This window comes from Homo sapiens, chromosome 19 (assembly GCF_000001405.40).
Source record: "Homo sapiens chromosome 19, GRCh38.p14 Primary Assembly".
NCBI lineage: Eukaryota > Metazoa > Chordata > Mammalia > Primates > Hominidae > Homo > Homo sapiens.
In genome coordinates this window covers 17,222,200-17,246,926 of record NC_000019.10, presented here as the reverse complement: position 1 = coordinate 17,246,926, position 24,727 = coordinate 17,222,200, and the positions used below count along the sequence as shown (strand labels likewise).

Genomic DNA, 24,727 nt, shown 5'->3' with positions numbered 1-24,727 from the left:
CCAGCCCGGGCCTCGCATACAAAGGGTGCTTAATAAATGCTGGTCGGGCGGGCCCCAGCCCCGGTACTGGGGGATGGGGTGAGTTGGAGGTGGCGGCAGCTGCGAGGCTCCAGGGCGCCTGGAAGAGACATCTGCAGTCCAGCCGGCCGCCAGGCCAAGCCCTTTCTGCAAAGCACAGAAAGAAAAGGAAATTAAAAGGGAAAAAGGGGCAGGCCCCCAGACAGGGCATGCCTGTCGCCTCCAGCCGCGCGGGGCGGGTGGGCGCCCTGCCCCCGGAGGCCAGAAATTCTGCAGAGGGGCCCCCTGACCTCGCGGCCCCGGCCAGCCGGTCTCAGACCACAACATCCCTTCCCCCTGGAGATTCCGGGCACCAGGTGTTAACCCGAGCAGAGAAAGGGTGGGGTGGGGGTCAGACGCGGCGACTTTCTGGAAGAGGAAGCAAACACAATCTAGGGTGTGTGTGTGTGTGTGTGTGTGTGTGTGTGTGTGTGTGTCTGTCTGTCTCGCGCGCGCGTGTGTCTTGCGCAGGGGCGTACCCCCCCCCCGGGTGCCACTGGCCCCCCATCATTGCTTTGCCAGGAACTGTGGGGTGGGGAGAGGTTCCGAGGGGCGCCTCGAGGGTGATCGAGCGACCCAACGTCCAAGGCCAGAGGTGGAGGGGAGGGCCTTGGAGAGACATCTTGGCGAGGCTCAAGGAAGGGCAGAGGGCAGGCGCGGCTGAGGCTCCCGCCGCGGCCCGGCAGGGGTTAAGGCCCGAGCTGGGCGAGGGCGAGGGCGGGGGTGCGGGGGGAGGGGCAGAGGGAGGCGGGGGAGGGTCAGGCCCCGCGGCCCAGCGCTCGGCCCCCGTCCCTCCCGCCGGCCCGTTCGCCCGGCGCCGCGCGCGGCCACCCATGCCCTTATAAGGGCGGCCGTCGCCGGGGCAACGAGCGCCCGCCCCCAGCCCGCGGCGCGCGCCCCTGCCCCCGCCCCCGCCCCCCGCCCGCCCCGCGAATGGAACGCTGTGTGTCAAACCGGCCGCAGCGCGAGGCCGGCGCGCGGGGTCGGTGGCGGTGGCGGCGGCGAGAGCGAGGCTTGGGCCCAGGCGCAGGCCCAGGCCAGGCAGGAGCGGCCGCAGCGGGGGCGGCAGCTCCAGAGGCGCCGGCCCAGCGGCCCTGCAGGCCCGGAGCGGCAGCCGCGGGCGCCGGGGGACCCAGGGGGCGCGGCGATCAGCCCCGGCGCGCACCCGCCGCCCCTCCCCCCCCGCCACGGGCGGCCGCGCAACTTGCGGCCAAACTTTCCCCCCGGCCTCCCGCGCTCGGATGGCGGCCCGCTGAGTTGGCCGCAGCCCCCGGGCGAGCGGCGGCCAGGCCAGAGGACGCCCCCTGCGCGGCTCGGGCCGGGCCATGGCCCGCGCGCCCCCGCCGGGGCCCCAGGGCGGCGGGACGCGAGTCCTCTGGGCCCCCGGCCCGCGCCTCTAGCGTGCCCCTCCCGGCCCCGGGCCCGGCCCCGCGCACGCGTGGGAAAGTTGGCCTGGAACCGGCCCGACCAGTTCCGCCCGGGCGCGAGGACCGGCCGCAGGAAGTTGCTGCAAAACTTTTTTGGGGGGTGCAGCCCGTGCCCCCCGCGCGCCGGGGCCGAATGCGCGCCGCGTAGGGTCCCCCGGGCCGAGAGGGGTGCCCGGAGGGAAGAGCGCGGTGGGGGCGCCCCGGCCCCGCTGCCCTGGGGCTATGGCCATGGTGACCGGCGGCTGGGGCGGCCCCGGCGGCGACACGAACGGCGTGGACAAGGCGGGCGGCTACCCGCGCGCGGCCGAGGACGACTCGGCCTCGCCCCCCGGTGCCGCCAGCGACGCCGAGCCGGGCGACGAGGAGCGGCCGGGGCTGCAGGTGGACTGCGTGGTGTGCGGGGACAAGTCGAGCGGCAAGCATTACGGTGTCTTCACCTGCGAGGGCTGCAAGAGCTTTTTCAAGCGAAGCATCCGCCGCAACCTCAGCTACACCTGCCGGTGAGCCCCCCATCCGCGCGCCGCCGCCGTGCACCCCGCCCCGACCTGGGGCAGGCCTCTGACCTGCTCGGTCACCTTGGGCCTGGCGCTGACCTTCCCTGGGCCTCCACTGCCCCCTCTGAGATAGGGGCACAGCACCCTCCTCCCGCATTCCATGGCTGGGATTGTGTATACAGTCGGCGCTACATCGTTGCAGGTTCCCCCCCCATCAGGTGGTCCCTGGAGGCTTTTGCCCCAGTTACTTGCTTCTCCTTCCCTCCGCTTTTTCTCTGGGGAGGGGTCATCTCCGCGCTGGGGTGGGGGTAGGGGTGCTGTCAGGGGTGGTAACCCAACCCCAGGGCACCCGTTCTCGGGGATCCCGGCGCGCGGGATGCCCTCGAGGGAATCGAACGTGGAACTTGGACCGTGGAGCTCGCAGCGTCCAGGGGCCATTGTCTGCGGCCGCGCGGATCGATACGGCGCGCCCTTGGGGTCAAATATCACTTCCAAAGTCGCTGTGGCTACGGAGGCGGCAGACGGAGGGAGGCTGGGGTGGCACGGGGCGGCCTTCTTCGCATGAGGGGCCCAGCGGTGGGGGTGGGGGTGGGAGCTGGGCTTGCCCATCTCAGGGAACCCCTCTGGGCTCACTCTGGGCCTTGGGTCACCGGAAATCGCCACTGGAAGGCCGGCAGGGCCACCGGAATTGACTGAAACGTCCCTCTCCCCCAGGGGTGGGTGCAGACCTGGGGCTCCTGGAAAAATCCCTCAAACTTTGGGTGTCTCTGAGACGGGCAGGGAGTGAAACGTTTCCGAGCAGGAGCCTTGGGCTGTCCCAGGTCGGAGACCTCTCTGGCAGGGCGTGGCCTTGCTAGCTGTTCTGGCGGAAGGTCCCCAGGGAAAGCGATCGGGGTTGTCCAGCCCGGGAGTTCTTTTCTCACCGTTCCCGGGCGAGCATCCGATCTGTCCGTTTATAAGCCCCTACTCTGCACCCCAGGAACATGCAGGGTCTCTGTGGAGCCCGTCTAGACGGTCTCAGTTCCCAGCTGCCCAAAACAGAGGCCCAAAGGCCCAGAGAGAGGTCCTGGTGCCTGCTTTGCGTTGGACATGGAGGGACGCTGCCCGAGTTGGGGGCACTGTGGGGGAACTGTGGGGCTAGGGTGGGGACCGCTGAGTTCGGATCGGAGTGGCCCCAGGGAGAACGGCTGATGGAAGGCTTGTTGGCTGAGGCCACCAAATAGGGCCCCAGGTACCCGAGGGTGGAGTTTGGCCCCAGGTCCCGGGTCAGGGCTGGCCTGGTGTGGCCATGTGTGGCAGAGCTGCCTTGCTCCCTCCTCCAGCACAAAGTGGGCCACTAGACTTTGGCCTCATTCTTGCTGCTGGAAAACCGCCTGCTCTCTGGTCATATCTTTAGGGAGGGTAAGGGAGGGGGGCTCAGGCAGTTTTGGGGTCCCAGGAGCTTCCTGAGGGTGGTGTCAGGGAGCAGCAATTTTGGGTGGGGGGGGCCTTGCTTGGAGCTGACAGGTTTGTGCTGTGTCAGTTGTGTGACCTGGTGAAATCACCATTCCATTCTGAGCTTCAAATGGATTGAGCAGGGTCTCGCTGGGGCCCAGCCTGGGTAGTTTGATGCCAGCCCCTCCAGAGAGACCCCAGCTCCAAGTCTAGCTCCTGAGAAGCCCCCAGTCTGGAGGAGACACAGTGAGACAGATGCCCCAAGTCTGTGGGATCTGGGGTCCCAGGGAGAGAGCAGAGGCTCTGCCTGGAGGTCAGAGAGGGCTGCCTGGAGGAGGCTAGGGGACATGAGCCTTGAAGCATGGAGTTGGCAGGTGGAAGAAAGGCCACAGGGACATGCCAGAATGTGGTCCAGACAAAACACTTAGTGGCAGACTGGGGGAGCTGTGCTGTAAGAGGGGGACTGTGCAGCCATGGGAGAAGTCAGAGCTAGGTGGGCCTGAAATGCTGGCTGAGGGTAATGGGGAGCCATAGAGGGTGTGTGAGCAGGAGAGGGCTCTGATCAAATTGGACTGGAGGCCAGAAGCCCAGGGAGGAAGCTGAGTTGGGCCATGGGGTTGGGCAAAAAAGCTTGCACTCTTTAGGTGGGATAACAGGAAGAACTTAACTGTTTCCCTCCTTGGAGGGATGGATCTGTCCCAATTCCACAGCTGGGGAAGTTGAGACTGAAGGTTCAGGGCCTCCCCTGAGGTCAGGGGCCCCTGAGCTGGGCCTCTGCCTGCCTGCAGGGCCGCCCCAGGCCAGGCCGTTTCCACCCGGCTGCCCTGGACCCTCCCACCACCCAGCCGCTGGGCTTTGTTCTGGTTCTGCCTGAGCTCCCTCTGCCCTAGTGGGGCCTCTTCCCAGGGGCTCAGTGGCTGGTGCTGCAGGACCCAGGCAGTGGTGGAGGGGGGGTACGGGGGAGTGGGCGCAGATCCTCAGCTTTCCTAAGTTGGGTTCTCCGGCTGGGCTCTGGGTCTTGGCACTGTCCCCCGTGAACCCCTCTGACCCAGTCCATCCCATATGATAGGGCAATATCTGACCTCCCATTTTCAGATGAGGAAACCGAGGCTCAGTGGGGCAGTCGCCACCTGAGGGGCAGGGCTGGGTATCTGCAGCTGAGATTCATCTGTTTTGTTTTGTTTTGTTTTGTTTTTGAGACGGAGTTTCACTCTTGTTGCCCAGGCTGGAGTGCGATGGCGTGATCTCAACTCACTGCAACCTCTGCCTCCCGGGTTCAAGCGGTTCTCCTGCCTCAGCCTCCCAAATAGCTGGGATTACAGGCATGCGCCACCATGCCCGGCTAATTTTGTATTTTTAGTAGAGACAGGTTTTCTCTATGTTGTTCAGGCTGGTCTCAAACTCCCAACCTCAGGTGATCCGCCCGCCTCGGCCTCCCAAAGTGCTGGGATTACAGGCATGAGCCACTGCACCCAGCCTTTTTTTTTTTCTTTTTTTTTGAGACAGAGTCTCACTCTGTCACCCTGGCTGGAATGCAGTGGGTCAATCTTGGCTCACTGCAACCTCCACCTCCCCAGTTCAAGCGATTCTCCTTCCTCAGCCTGCCAAGTAGCTGGGATTACAGGCATGCGCCACCACGCCCAGCTCATTTTTGTATTTTTAGTAGAGACGGGGTTTCACCATGTTGGCCAGGCTGGTCTTGAACTGACCTCAGGTGATCCACCCTCCCCCGCCTCCCAAAGTGCTGGGATTACAGGCGTGAGCCACTGCAGAGATGCATCTGTTTAATTCCCTTAAGTGGTGGTTCTACTCTGTGACTGTCTCTGTGTGTCCCCTGGGTGTCCAGCTGGAACCCCAGGGGTAGTTGCTCCAGGCCCAGGCCTTGGAGAGCCCCCAGCTCCTGGTGGCAAGAGACCAGGGGAGTCCAAGGGCAGGGGCCAAGGGGAGAAGGTTCTGGGGACATTTGAAGAATAAGGCCTGGACCTTCCTGCTTGGGGGCTGACCCAGGATGGGGAGCTCACCACCTCTCAGGGTGGGGCCACCTGTCTCATCCCTGCAAGAGGCAACGGCATTCACTGAGGGCTGACCAGGAAAATCTCCAGCTTGCATAGGGGTTGGGTGGTCCTCTCGGAAGAGCGTAGGTGTGGGGCCTTCAGGGCTGAGGACCAGAGTGACTTTGTTTACTTCCTCATTCCTTGGGGTGGGCATTGTGCGGGTGATAATGCTGGGGCCCCACAATGCTATGACCCCACAGACCACTAGCCCCTGGCCTGACCCCTAGTTAATTCACAAAGTCCAGCTCTCTGACCATGTCCTCTTTGCCTTCACATCTTTTTGGGGACAATGACCCTGCTCAGCCTGACAGTGACCAAATAAAATGAAACTCTTTAGGCCTCCATATTTGTGTATTTCAACCCTTTTGCTCTGGCTGTACCCTCTCTCTGGGATCACCCCGCCATTCACCTGGAGAACTCCTATTCATCCTTCAAAACCCATGCCAATGTGCCCTCCCTGGGGTGTTCATCTGCTTTTCCACAGATTCCTCTTCATCCATCACCACTCATCCGGGTTATCCTGTCTGGTTTGCAGACCTGCAAGCTGAGCTCCTGTACCCCTTTGGGGCTACCTCTCCAGTCTAGAGGGCCCCTACTAGTATTTCTGAGGGGCAGCCTCCAAAGGCGGCTCATAGGCTGGTTCGGGGAGGAGGATATGGGGGTCTCAGGGAGCCCTGGCTTCTGTGTGCCCCCAGGTCCAACCGTGACTGCCAGATCGACCAGCACCACCGGAACCAGTGCCAGTACTGCCGTCTCAAGAAGTGCTTCCGGGTGGGCATGAGGAAGGAGGGTGAGTACGTGCTGGGGACACACTGGGGACGATCACAGCCGCTGGAGCCGGGGTGAACAAACAGCTTCTTCCTCCCCTTTTTCCCCTCCCTTTCACCCCTCCCTTTCACAGGGGTCTGGGTGCCTCACAGGGTGGGGGCCGGCGCCTGCTAACCTCATTACCACTGATCCCTTGATCCCGTGGGCTGCAGTCTGGCCCTAGGCTGGAGGAATCCAATTAGGATCCGTGGCCCCCTGGTTGCTGCCGTGGAGCTGAAGAGGCCAGGGACGCCCCACAAGGGACTTTCCCCAGCCCCATTCTCTTGCAGGAGCTGCCTTCCCCAATTACCCCCGACTCCAGCCTCAGAGGCCAGTTCCCTGGCCCTGACACCTTGGTGACCTCTTGTCTGCTAGCGCGGCCACCGCGTTCTGAACAAGGATTTTTTTTTTTATTTGATTTGTTTCTCCTCCACCCTTCACCCATGCTTTTTGTTTGCCCAAGGCAGGAACTCTGCCCGATTAAGGCAAAGGGCAGCTTACCCTTTCTTCTGACCCCGGGCGCTGGGAGCAAGAGTGAGGCCCAGCTGTCTCTGCTCAGGGGACCCAGGTGGACGGGCGTATTCTGGGCTGCTGGGCCTAGAACTCTGCCAAACCCCCTTAGAATTCAAGTAGAACCCAGAGATTTCTGCATGGATTTCTGGGGTTCAGGAATAGAATCTAGCCTATTGGACGAGATCTCCTGTGCTGGGTTTCAGGTTCCTCTGGGGACTGTGTCGTGGGCCAGGCTGGCAGTTCTTTCTAATGTCTAACCTGAGCCTCCCCTGCTTTGAAGTTTTTTTTTCCTTATTTTCTTTATTTATTTTTATTTTTATTTGAGATGGAGTCTCGCTCCATCTTCCAGGCTGGAGTGCAGTGGTGTGATCTCAGCTCACTGCAGCCTCCGCCTCCCGGGTTCAAGTGATTGTCCTGCCTCAGCCTCCCGAGTAGCTGGGACTACAGATACGGGCCAACACGCCCAGCTAATTTTTTTTTTTTTTCTGAGACTGAGTCTTGCTCTGTCGCCCAGGCTGGAGTGCAGTGGCATGATCTCGGCTCACTGCAGGCTCCGCCCCCTGGGTTCACGCCATTCTCCTGCCTCAGCCTCCGGAGTAGCTGGGACTACAGGCGCCTGCCATCTCGCCCGGATATTTTTGTATTTTTAGTAGAGACGGGGTTTCACCATGTTAGCCAGGATGGTCTCGATCTCCTGACCTCGTGATCTGCCTGCCTCAGCCTCCCAAAGTGCTGGGATTACAGGCGTAAGCCACCGCGCCCGGCACGCCCACCTAATTTTTGTATTTTGTTTTGTTTTGTTTTTGAGACAGAGTCTCGCTCTGTTGCCAGGCTGGAGTGCTGTGGTGCCATCTCGGCTCACTGCAACCTCTGACTCCCTGGTTCAAGCGATTCTCCTGCCTCAGCCTCCTGAGTAGCTGGGATTACAGGCACATGCCACCACGCCCAGCTAATTTTTGTATTTTTAATAGAGATGGAGTTTCACTATGTTGGCCAGGATGGTCTCGATCTCCTGATCTCGTGATCTGCCCGCCTCGGCCTCCCAAAGTGTTGGGATTACAGGCGTGAGTCACCGCGCCTGGCCTAATTTTTGTATTTTTAATAGAGATGGTGTTTCACCGTGTTGGCCAGGCTGGAGTCTCCAACTCCTGACCCCAGGTGATCCGCTCGCCTCAGCCTCCCAAAGTGCTCGGATTATAGGCATGAGCCACCCCACCCGGCAGCTTTTTTTATTTTCTAGAGACAGAGTCCCACTATGTTGCCCAGGCTGGTCTCGAACTCCTAGCTTGAAGCGACCCTCCCACCTTGGCCTCCCAAACTACTGGGATTACAGGAATGAGCCACCATACTTGGCGTAAAGCTGTTGTTTTTTGGTCTAGGCCTTGGTGGGAGAAGCTGAGAGAGGCAGCTGAGGGGCTTTCTTTTAAAACTGATCACTCCCTGTGGCCCTTTTAAGTTTGGGGGTAACTTTCTTGTCCCTGCCCCCATAACATGGATTTTGCCTCTACTTGTCTATTTTACCTAAAATCCTCATATATCTCAAGTCATGGCCTCAGAGCAAACAGCCTCGCCAGAAGTCTCCAAAAGCCTCGGGTGGAAATATTTATGATGACAGCTCATGCTTTAAGCACACCTGCCTCGGGTCCTTTGCACGGGCTCTTCCCTCTGCCTGGAGTGCACTTTTTCCAGGTCCATACATGGCTCCCTCCCTAACCTTGCCTTCAAGGTTTGCTCAAACATCACCTCCTCAGGGAAGCCCTCCTGATCCCCCTGTATTTGACGCCACCTGTCTTGTTCTGTAATTTGCTTACACCCAGAATGTCCATTCCCTGTGGGCAGGTATTTTTGTCTGTCTTGTTCCCCAGCGCCTAGACCAGGGCTTGGTACACAGTAGGTGTTCAATAAATGGTCCTTGGCTTGAATTACCATGTAATTACCTTTCCTGTGTGGCAGGCATTATTTTAAGGTATAGATTCTCATTTAATTCAGTGATTGGTGACATCGTTTTTGAGACGGGGTCTCACTCTGTCTGGAGTGCAGTGGTGCGATCATAGCTCACTGCAGCCTTAAACTCCTGGGTTGAAGTGATTCTCCCACCTCAGCCTCCTGAGTAGCTGAGATTACAGGTGTTCGCTACCATGCTGGGCTAATTTCTTAATTTTTTGTAGAGACGGGGTCTCGCTATGTTGCCCAGGCTGGTCTCAAACTCCTGGGCTCAAGCGATCTTCCTGCCTCAGCCTCCCAAAGTGCTAGGCTTGCAAATGGGAGCCACTGTCTGCATTTTACAGATGAGGAAACTGAGGCACACAGCAGATTGGTGAGGCCATTTGTCAGAGAGCAACAGAGTTGTGATTGGGATTTGAACCTCCACAGTCTGGGCTGAAGAGCTGGGGAGGGGTTTGAGGAAGAGTGAACAGAAAGTGCAAAGGCCGGCCAGGCGTGGGGGCTCACGCCTGTAATCCCAGCACTTTGGGAGGCCGAGGTGGGCAGATCACGAGGTCAGGAGATTGAGACCATCCTGGCCAACATGGTGAAACCCCGTCTCTACTAAAAATACAAAAATTAGCCAGGCGTGGTGGCAGGTGCCTCTAATCCCAGCTACTCGGGAGGCTGAGGCAGGAGAATCACTCGAACCCCGGAGTCGGAGGCTGCAGTGAGCTGAGATTGTGCCACTGCACTCCAGCCTGGTGACAGAGCAGAACTCTATCTCAAAAAGAGAGAGAGAGAGAGGGAGAGAGAGAGAGAGGAAGAAAGGAAAGGAAAGAAGGGAGGGAGGGAGGGAAAAAAGAAAAAGAAAAAGTTCAAAGGCCCTGGGGTGGGAATGTGGCCATGTGAGGGAGTGGTGGTTGCTCACAACCCAGTGAACAAAGCGGGAGGAAGCTTCCTGGAGGACCGGGGAACCACTTTTGGGCCCCATCCACCTATCCCCATTTGACAGTTGACTCAGACTCAGGGACCCCTTGGAGCGGGCTTCAACCCATGCCCTGGCTTCTCCGCTTAGCTCTGTTCGCCCCTGGCTTCTGCTCGCGTTCCCCTCCGGTGTTTGCTCTACACAGAGTTGACCTGGAGTTCACGGAGGTGATGAGATGGGGCATGCCAGCTCATTAAAGCTCATTAATTAGTCTGCTGGCAACCAGCCCAGTCAGCCCTGCCATCCCGCCCACCCCGGCACAAGCCAGGCAGGCACATGGCCAACTCTCTTCCTCTTCATGCCTCAGTTTCCCTTTTCTCACCCACCTGGTCACTGCAGACGTGCCCAAGCCAGCAGCAGGGCCTCCCCGCTTCATAAGCAAGGCTACTGATGGCGGCTAATGTTTACTGAGGACCTATGGCAGCCCCCCTGGGACCCCTCCTTACTGTAGGTCCCCCCCAACCCTTCCCTGCACTGTAGCCTCTGCAGGGACCCAGACCGGCCCTCAGGGGTCACCATCTGGTGGGGAGGGGGATGGAAGGTAGAGAAATGATCCCTGTTCCATAGGAGAGAGCCAGTGCTGGGTGGGTATTGATCTGTTGCTTTGGGGACCAAGCTGGCCAGGGTCCCCAAGTCCTCCATGGCCCATCCTCAGCTCTGGGAACCCCATGACTATCTGTTAGGAGGCTCCAAAAGGTTTATTAGATGCTCCTCCTTGTCCCCAGGAGCTGGGGGTGGGGGGTGGTGGCTGGACCTAGACAGGGACTCCTGGACTCTTACTTTCTAACCAGCCTGGCGCCCATGGGGTGGGGTTGGGCATTCTGGGAAAGGCTGGGCCTGGAGGCTTTGGAGGGGAGGGCCTGAGTGACCCCTTGATGACTTTTGTCTCCCTTTCCCGTTATTCTCCCTACCTGCCCCCCCCCACCTGCCCCCCACCCCATGTCTCTATGGGCACCTACTTGGCCCCTCATCCCCCCTCTTCCGGCCCTCTCCTCTCTACCCCTCGCTTCCCTTCCTGTCTCTCCAATCTCCTCTCCTCCCGGCCTTCTGTGCCCCGCCCTCCCCTCCCCCATCTCCTGTCCCTCCCCCGTTTCCTGCTGCCCGCCCCCCCCCCCCCCGCCTCCCCTCCCGCCCCCATGTCCCTCCTGTCCCCGCCTCCCGCAGCGGTGCAGCGCGGCCGCATCCCGCACTCGCTGCCTGGTGCCGTGGCCGCCTCCTCGGGCAGCCCCCCGGGCTCGGCGCTGGCGGCAGTGGCGAGCGGCGGAGACCTCTTCCCGGGGCAGCCGGTGTCCGAACTGATCGCGCAGCTGCTGCGCGCTGAGCCCTACCCTGCGGCGGCCGGACGCTTCGGCGCAGGGGGCGGCGCGGCGGGCGCGGTGCTGGGCATCGACAACGTGTGCGAGCTGGCGGCGCGGCTGCTCTTCAGCACCGTGGAGTGGGCGCGCCACGCGCCCTTCTTCCCCGAGCTGCCGGTGGCCGACCAGGTGGCGCTGCTGCGCCTGAGCTGGAGCGAGCTCTTCGTGCTGAACGCGGCGCAGGCGGCGCTGCCCCTGCACACGGCGCCGCTACTGGCCGCCGCCGGCCTCCACGCCGCGCCTATGGCCGCCGAGCGCGCCGTGGCTTTCATGGACCAGGTGCGCGCCTTCCAGGAGCAGGTGGACAAGCTGGGCCGCCTGCAGGTCGACTCGGCCGAGTATGGCTGCCTCAAGGCCATCGCGCTCTTCACGCCCGGTGAGCCACGCTCCGAAGAGGGCCGCGGGATGGGGGGACCCAAGGGAGGTTAGGAGGAGGGCGGCCTGGACCCAGACTCCGGCCCCCATAGCGCCCCGCTCGCTCCCTAGGCCTGGGGCCCTGCACGCGCCGTGAGTGAACGCTCTTGGGTGGCTGTAGAGGGGTGATGTAAGCAGTGTGACACTGTGACACCCCCACTCCGTGATCCCAGGACTCTCGGAGAACTCTGAACCCCGGACCCCAGACCCAAGGCTGGGCCAGGACCAGGGCCCAGACCCCAGAACCCTCTTCCTGTTCCCAGGCTCCCTGAGACCCCTACTCCCTCACCAAAGGGCTCTTCAGGCTTAGTGAGCACTGATAGCACAAGGTTGGGGGGACGTGGGAGGGAAGGTCCTGACCCCCTGGTTCTGGCCCCCTCAGGCCCCCACTGGGCTCCCAGGGCAACCTCCAGGTAGCCAGGGTTGTAGGGATCTGGGTAGGGGCGTGGCTCGGAGGCCCCTCCCGTTGAGGGGCGGGGCAACCCCAGAACTTTCTTAACCATCAGCTATCTAGCAGTGGTAGCCCATCGTATTCCAGCGACTGGCGGTACAGCCAAATTTTTTTTTTCCACTTTATTTTTTTATTTGTATTTCCATTTTTTGAGACTGGGTCTCACCCTGTCACCCAGGCTGGAGTGCAGTTGTCCGAACACGGTTCACTGCAGCCTTGATCTCCAGGGCTCAAGCAATCCTCCCTCACACTTCAGCCTCTTGAGTAGCTGGGACCACAGGCGTGCACCACCATTCCCGGCTAATTTTTTTTTAAACGTTTTCTGTAGAGACGTGGTCTCACCGTGTTGCCTAGGCTGGTCTTGAGCTTCTGGGCGCAACCAGTCCTGCCTCAGCCACCCAAAGTGCTAGGATTACAGGCATAAGCCACCATGCCTTTAGACAAAGATCTCTCCAGCCTGTCTCCTGGGAGTTCTTTAACCTACTGGAAGTCTCTAGATCCCATCAGAGGTATCTTTGGGGCTAGGAACCAGATCCAGGCTACTCTGGGAGGTGGCTTTCATTTGATAAATATGGTTTTGGGCCTGCAAGGTGGCTCAGGCCTGTAATCACCGCACTTTAGGAAGCAGAGTTGGGAGAACCACTTGAGCCCAGGAGTTCGAGGCTCCAGTGAGCTCTGATTTTCCCACTGCACTTGAGCCTGCGCAACAGAGTGAGACCGCGTCTCAAAAATCAATAAATATGGCTTTATTTATTGTTTTCCCAGAAGATTTTTTTTTTTTTTTTTTGAGACGGAGTCTTACTCCGTCGCCCAGGCTGGAGTGCAGTAGCACGATCTCGGCTCACTGCAACCTCCGCCTCCCTGGTTCAAGCTATTCTCCTGCCTCAGCCTCCTGAGTAGCTGGGATTACAGGCACGCGTCACCACGCCTGGCTAATTTTTGTGTTTTTAGTAGAGACGGGGTTTCATCATGTTGGTCAGGCTGATCTCGAACTCCTGACCTCATGATCTGCCCGCCTCAGCCTCCCAAAGTGCTGGGATTACAGGCGTGAGCCACCGCGCCTGGCCTTCCCAGATTTCTTCTTGGCTTCCTATCTTGGGTCTCTCTCTAGAGGCTGCCACATTCTCTCACACCGTAGGCCCTTCTGGGCTCTGTCTTCCTCATCAAATTCCCTTCCCAGCCCCACCTTCCCTGCGAGCTTCCTTAGAACCCATCTCCTTGGCCTGGCTGGTGGCCCTGTAATCCCAGCACTTTGGGAGGCCGAGGTGGGGAGATTGCTTGAGGTCAGGAGTTCAAGACCAGCCTGGCCAACACAGCAAAACCCGTCTCTACTAAAAATACAAAAATTAGCTAGGCGTGGTGGAGTGTGCCTGTAATGCCAGCTACTTGTGAGGCTGCGGCAGGAGAATCACTTGAACCCGGAGGCAGAGGTTGCAGTGAGATCGTGCCACTACACTTCAGCCTGGGCGACAGTGTGAGACTCTATCTTAAAGAAAAAAAAATTAGAACCTGTCTCCCTGCCAAAGGCATGAGTTGGGTGCCAGCCACCCTTGAAACATCACTGCCTGCACCCCTATGTCACTGGTTAGATGAGAACACCTCACTATCTCTGGAGGATCGACACAGTCTTAGATAGTCCCATTTGCATCCCAGGGTCGTTTTTTGTTTTGTTTTGTTTTGTTTTGTTTTGTTTTGTTTGAGACAGGGTCTTATTACTCTGTCGCCCAGGCTGTGCTATGATCATGGATCACTGTAGCCTCAAACTCCTAGGCTCAAGAGATCCTCCCACCTCAGCCTCTTGAGGAGCTGGGACTACAAGCGTGTGCCATCACACTGGACTAATTTTTATTTTTTATTTATTTTGAGACAGGGTCTCCCTCTGTTGCCCAGGCTGGAGTGCAGTGGCACGATCTCGGCTCACTGCAACCTCCGCCTCCCAGGCTCAAGCGATCCTCCCATTAGCCTTCCGAGTAGCTGGAACTGCAGGCACGCACTACCATGCCTGGCTAATTATTCTTATTTTTAGTAGAGACGGAATATCATCATGTTGGCCAGGCTGGTCTTGAACTCCTGACCTCAAGTGATCCACCTGCCTCAGCCTCCCAAAGTGCTGGGATTACAGGCGTGAGCTACTGTGCCCAGCCCCAGCTGATTTGTTTTTGCAGAGAAGGGATCATACTATGTTGCCCTGGCTGGTCTCAAATCCTGGCCTTAAATGATGCTTCTGCCTTGGCCTCCCAAAGTGCTGGGACTGTGGCCGTGAGCCATCATGCCCGGCCCCCTGTTCTTACCCACAGTGGCGAGTGGTGTCCCCTAGTCACCCCTGTGGGCTCTGTGTTCTCTAGCTGCCTCCCACCTGTCTGACTTGCCTTTGTCCCCCTAGACGCCTGTGGCCTCTCAGACCCGGCCCACGTTGAGAGCCTGCAGGAGAAGGCGCAGGTGGCCCTCACCGAGTATGTGCGGGCGCAGTACCCGTCCCAGCCCCAGCGCTTCGGGCGCCTGCTGCTGCGGCTCCCCGCCCTGCGCGCGGTCCCTGCCTCCCTCATCTCCCAGCTGTTCTTCATGCGCCTGGTGGGGAAGACGCCCATTGAGACACTGATCAGAGACATGCTGCTGTCGGGGAGTACCTTCAACTGGCCCTACGGCTCGGGCCAGTGACCATGACGGGGCCACGTGTGCTGTGGCCAGGCCTGCAGACAGACCTCAAGGGACAGGGAATGCTGAGGCCTCGAGGGGCCTCCCGGGGCCCAGGACTCTGGCTTCTCTCCTCAGACTTCTATTTTTTAAAGACTGTGAAATGTTTGTCTTTTCTGTTTTTTAAATGATCATGAAACCAAAAAGAGACTGATCATCCAGGCCTCAGCCTCATCCTCCCCAGGACCCCTGTCCAGGATGGAGGGTCCAATCCTAGGACAGCCTTGTTCCTCAGCACCCCTAGCATGAACTTGTGGGATGGTGGGGTTGGCTTCCCTGGCATGATGGACAAAGGCCTGGCGTCGGCCAGAGGGGCTGCTCCAGTGGGCAGGGGTAGCTAGCGTGTGCCAGGCAGATCCTCTGGACACGTAACCTATGTCAGACACTACATGATGACTCAAGGCCAATAATAAAGACATTTCCTACCTGCACAGCCTCCCTGGTCTTTATTTTTATTTTTTATTTTTGAGACGGAGTCCTACTTCGTCACCCAGGCTGGAGTGCAGTGGCGTGATCTTGGCTCACTGTAACCTCTGCCTCACAGGTTCAAGCGATTCTCCTGCCTCAGCCTCCCCAGTAGCTGGAACTACAGGCACCCACCACGATGCCCAGCTAATTTTATTTTTGGTAGAGATGGGGTTTCACCATGTTGACCAGGTTGGTCTCGAACTCCTGACCTCAGGTGATGCACCTGAGGCCTCCAAAAGTGGATTACAAGCGTGAGCCACTGTGCCTAGCCTCACTTACTTTCTTTTGGTCAACCTTAATCTTTTTTTTTTTTTTTTTTTTTTTTTTTGAGATGGAGTTTCGCTGTTTCACCTGGGCTGGAGTGCAGTGGTGCAATCTTGGCTCAGTGCAACCTCTGCCTCCCGAGTTGGAGCAATTCTCCTGCCTCAGCCTCCTGAGTAGTTGGGATTACAGGTGCGCACCACCACGTTCAGCTGATTTTTGTACCTTAACTAGAGGGGTTTTGCCATGTTGGCCAGGCTGGTCTCGAACTCCTGACAGGTGATCCACCTGCCTTGGCCTCCCAAAGTGGTGTGATTATAGGCATGAGCTGCCGGGCCCTTAATCTTGTTTGGGCTCCAATGTCCTTGGGAGAAACCTCTGGGGCCAGTCCTGTCACATGATGTAAGGCGAGCCAATCAGAGACCACCATTCCCTGGGCCACAGCAACTGGTTTATGGAGGCCCTGGGATGCCAAACTAGCCAGTGAGATTGCACGGTGGGATTTGGAACTGGGAGAATCTAATTAAAGCAGAGCCAAGGATGGAAGATCAATTTCCCAAGATGCCTTTGGAGCCCCAGATCAAGCCATACCTGAAACCCTTGGGTGTTTTAAGTTCTGTGAACTCAGTCTCCCCCCTTTTGTGCCTGAGTCAATCTGACTTCAGTTTTTTTTCTCACATGGAACTAAAAATCTGTTTCAGAGATTGACGTTTGGGAGTCAGGCACCTACAAGGCCAAGACTTTGAAATGTGGGCTTCACTGGGTTGATACGGAATCATGTGGGGTACCAGGGACTCTCCCGTCCCAGCCTCGGGAGTGTGTGGCACAGCTCTGTGGTGGGAAAGGCACCTGTGGAATTCAGCACCAGAGCTGTAGGGCAGAGAGAAAGGGCCCGAATGGTGGTGGGGGTGGCACCTCTCACTGATGTCCTTCTGTAGCCAGGCGTGGTGGCAGGAGCCTGTAATCCCAGCTACTCGGGAGACTCAGGCACGAGAATCACTTGAACCTGGAAGGCGGAGGTTGCAGTGAGCTGAGATCGCACCACTACACTCCACTCTGGGCAACAGAGGAAGACTGTCTGAAAAAAAAAAAAAAAAGAAAGATGCCCTCCTGAAAACAGCAAGGGAAGAAGTCAAGTCTGTCACGCTGCCTGCTGGGCCAGTGCTCAGCTCTTAAGCAGCCCCAGTTTGCCAAAATGCTCCCTAGTCTCCCCATGTCCATCTTGAAGAAAGCCTTGGAAGACGAGAGATTAGGCCCCTCCTGTGGAGTCAGTGAGGGTTTCTTGTGGGCACGTTCCCAGAAGGGAACTGAGGCAGGGGCGGGATGGAGAGGACACCAGGTTCTCGTTGAAGGCTGCACTGGGTTTTGCATTAGGTCAGGGTCTCTCCATGGTGTCCTGTGAGTGAGTGGGTCCATGTCTACTCCAGTCAAACTGGACAGCAAGGTCTCATTTATCCAATGCACAGGACATCTGAGGGTTGAGTGAGACCATGGTGTCTGTCCTGCTGTTTGGCCCCAGGCCAGAGATCTGGATGTCTGTCCAAGGCCTGACTGCTGAACTCCTACTTTTCCTACAAAACCCTACCCACATGGCCCTTCCTGCGGGAAGAGATCTTGAGCCTCCCTGGCTATTAAGACTCTGCTGTGCAGCCTTCTTTTACTGGACTCAGGGCTATCTTCCCCAGACTAGGGCCTTCTTGAGGACAATCGTGGTGGCCCAGTGGTTGACGCTGTCTCCCCTGCATGTAGTTGGTCTTCCTGGTTGCTTCTTGCCCCTGTGGCTCCCTTGGGAGACTGAAACTCAGAGGACAGCTTCTGGTCTGCTGTTACATGGCTCCCACAGGGAGACTGGCCCCACCTGTGCCCCACCCATCACAGCTAGGGCCTGGGATGGGTCAGACACTGGAAGAGCCTCCCCCTAGGCCATGCATATGGACCGTGCCCACACACTGGGGTCAGTTGCTGTCCTGAAGTGCCCAGGGAGACACAGAGAGTGAAGAATCCAGCTGGACGTGGTGGCTCATGCCTGTAACCCCAGCACTTTTGGAGGCTGAGGTGGGCGGATCACTTGAGGTCAGGAGTTCCAGTCCAGCCTGGCCAACATGGTGAAACCCCGTCTCTACTAAAAATATGAAAATTAGTTGGGCATGGTGGCAGGTGTCTGTAATCCCAGCTACTTGGGAGGCTGAGGCAGGAGAATCACTTGAACCGGGGAGGCGGAGGTTGCAGTGAGCCAAGATCGTGCCACTGCACTCCAGCCTGGGCGACAGAGTGAGACACAGTCTCAAACAAAAACAAAAACAAAAAACAACTTTTTGTGTGTGTGACAACTGAGTGAAATCAGAAGTGTTAAGTAATTATACTCAGTAGGTGTCTAATACATGTTTATTTCACTGGGATGGAGAGCAGGCCCTACTTCCAGGGAACAGGTTGAGATCTGGAGTCCCTGTAGGGTCAGAGCTAGAGGACCCAGAGGAGGAAGTCCTGGAAGGCCTTCCTGGAGGAGGGGCTGTCAGAGCTGAGTCCAAACTGAAGAGGCATTTGCAATCCAGGAGAAAGCGACCCCTGGTAGGGGGAGCTGCAAGAGGAAAAGCTGAGAGATACCAAGAAATGCAAGGGACCTGCATCCCCATGCATCCCTCTGCCCATCTGCAGGGGCACTTAGAAGTACACGGAGCCCTCGCTGTCTCCTTGGTCATCGAATTTCTGGATCTGAGTCTTGAGATGCCTCAGTTTACCCTTCAGGTAGTGGCAGCGAGCCTGCTTGTCCAGGAAGCCAGGATCCTAGGCAGGGCGAGACCCGGAAGTCTTTGCAGCAGTCTGCCCTGTGGCCTTCAAGCTGCTTAACTCTCTGCCTTTCATTCTCCGAGCCTCAATTTTCTCTCCTTGAAACTGGGCACAGGCGACCGGGTGAGCCGGGCAAGGTGGCTCATGCCTGTAATCCCAGCAGTCTGGGAGGCCGAGGTGGGCGGATCACTTGAGGTCAGGAGTTCGAGACCAGCCTGGCCAACATGGTGAAACCCCATCTCTACTACAAATACAAAAATTTGCCAGGCACGGTGGTGGGCGCCTGTGATCCCAGCTGAGGCAGGAGAACCGCTTGAACCCGGGACGCTGAGGTTGCAGTGAGCTGAGATCATACCACTGCACTCCCGCCTGGGTGACAGAGCGAGATTCTGTCTCAAAAGAAAGAAAAAAAAAAGAAACTGGGCACAGGCACCCCAGCCTCACAGAAGTCTCAGGGGTGCAAGACCAAGCTGTGGGATGCAAGACTCACCATTCGCTTCATCTCAAACTCCCTCCAAACCCGGGCTGCAACTTGGGCCTCCTTCTGCAAGGGGAGGAGTAGAAAGGGGGTTTAGGGAGAGTTGAATTCAAGAAGGGATGAAGAAACTGAGGCTCAGACAGACTAAATGCCCATCTAGTGGGGACTTCAAGGGCTGACCTTAGCCATGTGTCACGGCGCCCAGCCAACCGAGAGGAGAAAGAGTCCTGGAAATCTGGACCCAGTGGGTGTCCCAGAGGCTTGGGTCGGGCCACTCAGAAGGGCTGCGGGGCAGGGCTTTCTCCCTAGTGCTGACCTGGCTTTGGGGTGGGGGCAGGGAGCTCAGCAGGGCCTCCAGCTGCCTGAGCTTTGCCTGTGCACACCCCACCTCGTGCTGGAGCTCCAAGAACTCTCCGTACTGGTCCTGGAACACTGCGACATAGCGGCTCCGTTCCCTCTCACTGCTCACTGGCGGGTACTTACTACCAGGTTGAAGAGGGTCAGAGTGTGAGTGTAAAGAACCCCACTCTTTCCCCCAGTCAGTGTAATTTGCTTTTCTTTGTCCATGCTGGGCCCCTACTAGAAACGTTCCTTTTCTCTCCCTCTTTTAATTTATTTATTATTATTTTTTGAGATAGAGTCTTGCTCTGTTGTCCAGGCTGGAGTGCAGTGTAGCGATCTCAGCTCACTGCAACCTCCACCTCCCGGGTTCAAGCAATTCTCCCACCTCAGCCTCTTCAGTAGCTGGGATTACAGGCATGCGCCACTATATCCAGCTAATTTTTGTGTTTTTAGTAGAGACGGGGTTTCACAATGTTGGCCGGGCTGGTCTCGAACTCCTGACCTCAGGTGATCCGCCTGCCTCAGCCTCCCAAAGTGCTGGGATTACAGGCATGAGCCACCGCGCCTCGCCTATTTATTTATTTATTTTCGGAGACGGGATCTCACTGTGTTGCCCAGGCTGGAGTGCAGTGGCTTATTCACAGGGACAATCCCACTACTGATCAGCAAGGGATCCTTTCCTTTCTACTCTTTGGTAAACTCTTATTCAACTATCAAAGCCCCAGCCTCAGTGCCCCTCTCCTGATCCCAGGCATGAAGAATCACATGGGGGACACTCACAGCTCATAGTCGGGCACTGGGTGGGGCCTAGGCTTATGCCCCTTAGGGATGGCTCCAATAGGCTTCTTGGCGCCCAGGAGGGCCTGGGAGAGCAACTCATCCTCAAACACAATCTTCTTGGTCTTTGCCTTGTGGGGTCCCGGCTGGGGCTGGCACGGAGGGCGGGGGGCGCTGGTTTTGAGGCCTCGGGGCGCCAGTCCCTGCAGCTGCCACAGGAATCGTGGTCTGGAGTTAAATCGGGGTGTCGGGAAACCGGAGTCCCTCAAACTGGAGGGGCTAAATCTTTTGCCTAGAGGCCCGGCCTGGGGACCCCCTCCCGGTCAGGCTCACCGGGGGCCCAGGCCCAGGCGGGTGAGTATGCAGGTGCCCCCGGGAGCCGCGAGTCTTTGGGGGCTCCCGGGTGGGCATCGGCCTCCGGGAGAAGCAGCTCAGGGGTTTCCGGGCTGATGGGCGGGTCCTGCGGGGGGCGTCGTGTCCCGCGCGCGGCGGGGGTGGTCTGCGGGCGGCCTGTGGGTGGACACGCGGAGAGGACACGCCTGACGACGCGCACGGAGAAAGGACGCGCGGGCAGCTCGGCCGAAGAGCGGCCAACTCTCACCCCGCGGGAGCAGAGTTCCCCAGAACGACCGCTATTTGCATAGACGCACGCGATTGGTCCGCAGCGACGTCCAGACCCCGCCCACGACTGCGCAACCCAAATAAGCGCTATGTAAATGAACTCTGACGTCGCCGCGCAGCCTGGGACCGGCTCGAGTTAACCCCCGCGCTGCCGGAGCCTCGACCTCCAGGGCGCGCAGAGCCCACAGACGACCGCGCCCGAGGAGCTCCTCGGGACCTCCGCCCCACCTGCAAGGCCGTCCGGCTCGCTACCGCCCCGGGTCACCTGTCCCAGCGTCTGGAGCTCCGAGCCTGGATCTGCTGTCGGAGAGGCACTTCCGTCCGGGTTGTGCATTTACTGCAGGATGGACCCGACTGGCGGGGTCGCTCAGCAGGGCTGGGGGCGGGGTCTGACGAAAGGGGGCTGGGCCTGACGGCCTGGGGGCGGGGCTGACCTGGCTGGGCGTGGCCACACACCTTCGAAACATGGTCGACTCCGACCTCGACCCTCAAGTTTGTCTGAAAAAACGGGATGGTTTTGCAAATTTAAACTTATTTATTTTTTTCAGCAATTATATGAAAAAAATTTTTTAACAAGAGTCTCACTTGCCCAGGCTGGAATGCAGTGGCGTGATCTCGGCTCACTGCAGCCTCCGCCTCCCGGGTTCAAGCGGTTCTCCTGCCTCCGGCTCCCGAGTAGCTGGGACTACATGCGCACACTTCCACGCCCAGCTAATTTTTTGCTGTTGTTGTTGTTTGTATTTTTAGTAGAGACGGGGTTTCGCCACATTGGCCAGGCTGGTCTCAAACTTCTGACGTCAAGTGATCCGTCCGCCTCGGCCTCCCAAAGTGCTGGGATTACAGGTGTGAGCCACCGCGCCCGCCCGGAGTTTCGTCATTTTAGCCAGGCTGGTCTTGAACAGCTTCCGGGACTCAAGCAATCCGCTTGCCTCGGCCTCCCAAAGTGCTGGGTTACAGGCGTGAGCCACCGCACCCGCCCCTTTCTTTCTTTTTCTTTTATTTCTTTTAAGGGCGAGCAGGTGGTGTTAGATGGCATCTTTACTGAACAGTACTGTTCCTGGCAGAGCAGAGCTAACTTATAGACAGTGTGCCCCAAATCGGCCTTTTATATATATATATATAGAGAGAGAGAGAGAGAGAGGCTGTGTTGCCCAGGCTGGAGGGCATGATCATGGCTCACTGTGGCCTCGACCTCCTTCCTAGCCTCAATTGATCCTTCCACCTCAGCCTCCCAAATAGCTGGAACCACAGGTGACACAACGCCTCCCTAATTTTTGTGTTTTTTGTAGAGACGGGATCTCGCCGCGTTGCTCAGGCTGGTCTTGAACTCCCGAGTTCCAGCAATCCACCCGCCTCAGCCTCCCACAGTGCTGGGATTACAGGTGTGATCCCATAATCGTGCTTGGCATTTTTTTTTTTTTTTTTTTTTTTTTTTTTTGAGAGGAAATGTCCTTATGGGTCCAGGCTGTTTTCCAACTCCTGGACTCAAGCGATCCTCCTGCCTCAGCCTCCTGTCTGGGATGTGTGTATTTTACATTTGGAACATACTGCCAAGTTACTCCTTAGTGAGATTGTACCATTTATGCTCCAAGAGATACAGGGGTTTTCCCACAACCTTGGCGGCACTGGCATGATAACGGATTCCCTCACCTGTACTTTCTTTTCTTTTTTTTTTTTTTTTGAGACGGAGTCTCGCTCTGTCTCCTAGGCTGGAGTACAGTGGCGCGATCTCGGCTCACTGCAAGCTCCGCCTCCAGGGTTCAAACCATTCTCCTGCCTCAGCCTCCTGAGTAGCTGGGACTACAGGCGCCCACCACCACGCCCGGCTAATTTTTTCTATTTTTTAGTAGAGACGAGGTTTCACCGTGTTAGCCAGGATGGTCTCGATCTCCTGACCTCGTGATCCGCCTGCCTCGGCCTCCCAGCGTGCTGGGATTACAGGCGTGAGCCACAGCGCTGGCCCCTCACCTGTACTTTCAAAGTTGAAAATATTGCCTACTAAGGCTAGGCGCGGTGGCTCACGCCTGTAATCCTAACACTTTGAGAGGCCGAGGCGGGCGGATCACAAGGTCAGGAGTTCGAGACCAGCCTGGCCAACATAGTGAAACCCCGTCTCTACTAAAAATATAAAAAATTAGCCAGGTGTGACGGCGGGCGCCTGTAATCCCAGCTACTTGGGAGGCTGAGGCAGGAGAATCGCTTGAACCCGGGAGGCAGAGGTTGCAGTGAGCCAAGATTGCGCCAGTGCACTCCAGCCTGGATGACAGTTGAGAGACTGTCTCAAAAAAAAGGAAATATTGCCTAGTGTATGAGTGAAAAAATTTAGAGACTATTTCTCTATTTCGTAATTCTTTTCCTGTTATATCCTGCAAATGTTTTTTCTTGTTGATTTTTAGAAGTTCTTCAAATGTCAGCCGGGCAAGGTGGCTTATGCCTGTAATCCCAGCACTCTGGGAGGCCGAGGTGGGTGGACCACTTGAGGTCAGGAGTTCAAGACCAGCCTGGCCAGCATGGTGAAACCCCGTCTCTACTAAAAATACAAAAATTAGCCAGGCATGGTAGCACACACCTGTAATCCCAGCTACTCAGGAGGCTGAGGCAGGAGATCACTTGAAACCGGGAGGCGGAGGTTGCAGTGAGCCACGATTGTGCTGCTGTACCACTCCAGCCTGGGCGACTCCAAAAAAAGTTCTTCAAATGTCAACAAAATTCGTTTAAGCAGGCAGTGTATCTTTTTTTATTGCTGCTATAAATGGGATGCTTTAATACATTTTAAAGCTATATACATATATAGTATACAAGAAATGAATTTTTAAATATCTATAAGTCTCTTGCTAGCTTAAGGAATTCTTTTATTGAAATATTTTTAGTCACATCGCTTGGGCCTATCATATATACGGTCATATCATCTGCAAATAATTTTGCCTTCTCATTTCTTATTTTTCTTCTCTTATTTTTCAATCTCATTTCTTTTTTTCTTGTTGTTTGTTTTAGAGATGGGGTCTCACCGTGTTGCACAGTCTGGAGTGCAGTGGCACGATCATAGCTCAGTGCAGCATGATCACTTGGGCTCCTGGGCTCAAGTGATCATTTGCCTCAGCCTCCTGAATAATTGGTACTATAGGCACGCACCACCACACCTGGATAATTTTTTTTTTTTAGACGGAGTCTTGCTCTGTCTCCCAGGCTGGAGTGCAGTGGTGTGATCTCGGTTCACTGCTACCTCCGCCTCCTGGGCCAAGCAATTCTCCTGGCTCAGCCTCTTGAGTAGCTGGGATTACAGGTGCCCGCCACCATGCCTGGCTAATTTTTGTATTTTTAGTAGAGACAGGGTTCTACCATCTTGGCCAGTGTGGCCTGGTGAGCCAACCAGGTGGCCTACACCTGGATAATTTTTAAATTTTTATTGGTAGAGATGGGGTCTCGCTATGTTGCCCAGTCAGGTCTTAAACTCCTAGGCTCAAGCAGTCCTCCTGCTTCAGCCTCCCAAGTAGTTGAGACTAAAGACATGAGCCACCATGCCTGGCATTTTATTTATTCTATTGACAGGGTCTTGCTATTGTTGCCCAGGCTAGTCTCTATCTTCTGGCCTCAAGCAATCCTCCTGCCTCAGCCTTTGAAGTATCTGGGACCACAGGCGTGCACCACCATATTTGGCCCCATTTCTTTTTTTCTTTTTTTTTCTTTTTTTTTTTTTTTGAGACGAAGTCTCGCTCTTTTGCCCAGGCTGGACTGCAGTGGCGCTATCTTGGCTCACTGCAAGCTCTGCCTCCTGGGTTCACGCCGTTCTCCTGCCTCAGCCTCCCGAGTAGCTGGGACTACAGGTGCCCGCTACCATGCCCGGCTAATTTTTTTTTTGTATTTTTAGTAGAGACGGGGTTTCACCGTGTTAGCCAGGATGGTCTCGACCTCCTGACCTCTAGATCCACCCGCCTCGGCCTCCCAAAGTGCTGGGATTACAGGCGTGAGCCACCGCACCCAGCCTCTTTTTTTCGTCTAGTTGTGCTGACTACCACCTCAAGACTATGTTACATTATGGAGGCAGGGCGACTGTAAGCATCCTTCCCCATTCCATTCCCCCCGTTTTTTTGTTTTTGTTTTTTCAGATGGAGTCTCATTCTGTTACCCAGGGTGGAGTGTAGTGGTGCGATCTTGGCTCACTGCAACTTCTGCCTCCTGAGTTCAAGTGATTCTCCTGCCTCAGCCTTCTGAGTAGCTGGGATTACAGGTGCGTGCCACCATGCCTGGCTAATTTTTGTATTTTTGTAGAGACCAGGTTTCACCATATTGGTCAGGCCGGTGTCGAACTCCTGAGCTCAAGTGATCTGCCTATCTTGGCCTCCCAAAGTGCTGGGGTTACAGGTGGCTTTAGCCACCGCACC

The 24,727-nt window shown here is 57.1% G+C and overlaps 2 protein-coding genes across 6 annotated transcripts, besides 15 other annotated features; one reads left to right on the top strand and one right to left on the bottom strand.

The window, feature by feature from the left end:
* Positions 75-1,024: an enhancer, noted in NCBI's record as "H3K27ac-H3K4me1 hESC enhancer chr19:17356712-17357661 (GRCh37/hg19 assembly coordinates)". NCBI's record gives its function as "activates a minimal SCP1, AML or CMV promoter by ChIP-STARR-seq in primed H9 embryonic stem cells {active_cell/tissue: H9 hESC(primed)}" and the evidence as "EXISTENCE:reporter gene assay evidence [ECO:0000049][PMID:30033119]".
* Positions 288-367: a silencer, noted in NCBI's record as "silent region_10332". NCBI's record gives its function as "represses an Ori minimal core promoter by ATAC-STARR-seq in GM12878 lymphoblastoid cells {active_cell/tissue: GM12878}" and the evidence as "EXISTENCE:reporter gene assay evidence [ECO:0000049][PMID:35858748]".
* Positions 768-1,017: a silencer, noted in NCBI's record as "silent region_10331". NCBI's record gives its function as "represses an Ori minimal core promoter by ATAC-STARR-seq in GM12878 lymphoblastoid cells {active_cell/tissue: GM12878}" and the evidence as "EXISTENCE:reporter gene assay evidence [ECO:0000049][PMID:35858748]".
* NR2F6 (nuclear receptor subfamily 2 group F member 6) lies at positions 1,008-15,044 on the top strand. The gene is made up of 4 exons (NM_005234.4): positions 1,008-1,984; positions 6,162-6,256; positions 10,862-11,428; positions 14,301-15,044. The coding sequence occupies exons 1-4, from the start codon at positions 1,707-1,709 to the stop codon at positions 14,573-14,575; spliced, it is 1,215 nt and encodes a 404-aa protein (NP_005225.2). The 5' UTR covers positions 1,008-1,706; the 3' UTR covers positions 14,576-15,044.
* Positions 1,418-1,577: a silencer, noted in NCBI's record as "silent region_10330". NCBI's record gives its function as "represses an Ori minimal core promoter by ATAC-STARR-seq in GM12878 lymphoblastoid cells {active_cell/tissue: GM12878}" and the evidence as "EXISTENCE:reporter gene assay evidence [ECO:0000049][PMID:35858748]".
* Positions 1,588-1,657: a silencer, noted in NCBI's record as "silent region_10329". NCBI's record gives its function as "represses an Ori minimal core promoter by ATAC-STARR-seq in GM12878 lymphoblastoid cells {active_cell/tissue: GM12878}" and the evidence as "EXISTENCE:reporter gene assay evidence [ECO:0000049][PMID:35858748]".
* Positions 7,494-7,672: a silencer, noted in NCBI's record as "fragment chr19:17350064-17350242 (GRCh37/hg19 assembly coordinates)". NCBI's record gives its function as "represses an EF-1alpha promoter that drives an FKBP-Casp9 reporter gene in an ReSE screen in HepG2 liver carcinoma cells {active_cell/tissue: HepG2}" and the evidence as "EXISTENCE:reporter gene assay evidence [ECO:0000049][PMID:32094911]".
* Positions 10,815-10,934: a silencer, noted in NCBI's record as "silent region_10328". NCBI's record gives its function as "represses an Ori minimal core promoter by ATAC-STARR-seq in GM12878 lymphoblastoid cells {active_cell/tissue: GM12878}" and the evidence as "EXISTENCE:reporter gene assay evidence [ECO:0000049][PMID:35858748]".
* Positions 10,975-11,064: a silencer, noted in NCBI's record as "silent region_10327". NCBI's record gives its function as "represses an Ori minimal core promoter by ATAC-STARR-seq in GM12878 lymphoblastoid cells {active_cell/tissue: GM12878}" and the evidence as "EXISTENCE:reporter gene assay evidence [ECO:0000049][PMID:35858748]".
* Positions 11,955-12,004: a silencer, noted in NCBI's record as "silent region_10326". NCBI's record gives its function as "represses an Ori minimal core promoter by ATAC-STARR-seq in GM12878 lymphoblastoid cells {active_cell/tissue: GM12878}" and the evidence as "EXISTENCE:reporter gene assay evidence [ECO:0000049][PMID:35858748]".
* A 2,663-nt stretch (positions 15,045-17,707) lies between the features above and the next one.
* Positions 17,708-20,701, bottom strand: OCEL1 (occludin/ELL domain containing 1). Of its 5 annotated transcripts, none has more exons than NM_024578.3 (6): positions 20,611-20,701; positions 20,058-20,234; positions 19,728-19,933; positions 18,922-19,087; positions 18,618-18,671; positions 17,708-18,124 (listed from the first exon to the last, which is right to left on the bottom strand). In NM_024578.3, exons 1-6 carry the CDS (start codon positions 20,677-20,679, stop codon positions 18,002-18,004), a joined length of 795 nt encoding a protein of 264 aa, NP_078854.1. In that variant the 5' UTR covers positions 20,680-20,701; the 3' UTR covers positions 17,708-18,001. The 5 variants fall into 5 exon arrangements, with proteins under 5 accessions (NP_078854.1, XP_006722962.1, XP_047295397.1 ...); XM_006722899.5 differs by having other exon boundaries at positions 17,708-17,918; XM_047439441.1 differs by lacking the exons at positions 17,708-18,124; positions 18,922-19,087 and having other exon boundaries at positions 18,612-18,671; positions 19,728-19,952; positions 20,574-20,701.
* Positions 19,433-20,106: an enhancer, noted in NCBI's record as "H3K27ac-H3K4me1 hESC enhancer chr19:17337630-17338303 (GRCh37/hg19 assembly coordinates)". NCBI's record gives its function as "activates a minimal SCP1, AML or CMV promoter by ChIP-STARR-seq in naive H9 embryonic stem cells {active_cell/tissue: H9 hESC(naive)}" and the evidence as "EXISTENCE:reporter gene assay evidence [ECO:0000049][PMID:30033119]".
* Positions 20,107-20,781: an enhancer, noted in NCBI's record as "H3K27ac-H3K4me1 hESC enhancer chr19:17336955-17337629 (GRCh37/hg19 assembly coordinates)". NCBI's record gives its function as "activates a minimal SCP1, AML or CMV promoter by ChIP-STARR-seq in naive and primed H9 embryonic stem cells {active_cell/tissue: H9 hESC(naive and primed)}" and the evidence as "EXISTENCE:reporter gene assay evidence [ECO:0000049][PMID:30033119]".
* Positions 20,107-20,814: a biological region, named in NCBI's record as "H3K27ac-H3K4me1 hESC enhancer GRCh37_chr19:17336955-17337629".
* Positions 20,305-20,354: a silencer, noted in NCBI's record as "silent region_10325". NCBI's record gives its function as "represses an Ori minimal core promoter by ATAC-STARR-seq in GM12878 lymphoblastoid cells {active_cell/tissue: GM12878}" and the evidence as "EXISTENCE:reporter gene assay evidence [ECO:0000049][PMID:35858748]".
* Positions 20,375-20,494: a silencer, noted in NCBI's record as "silent region_10324". NCBI's record gives its function as "represses an Ori minimal core promoter by ATAC-STARR-seq in GM12878 lymphoblastoid cells {active_cell/tissue: GM12878}" and the evidence as "EXISTENCE:reporter gene assay evidence [ECO:0000049][PMID:35858748]".
* Positions 20,725-20,814: a silencer, noted in NCBI's record as "silent region_10323". NCBI's record gives its function as "represses an Ori minimal core promoter by ATAC-STARR-seq in GM12878 lymphoblastoid cells {active_cell/tissue: GM12878}" and the evidence as "EXISTENCE:reporter gene assay evidence [ECO:0000049][PMID:35858748]".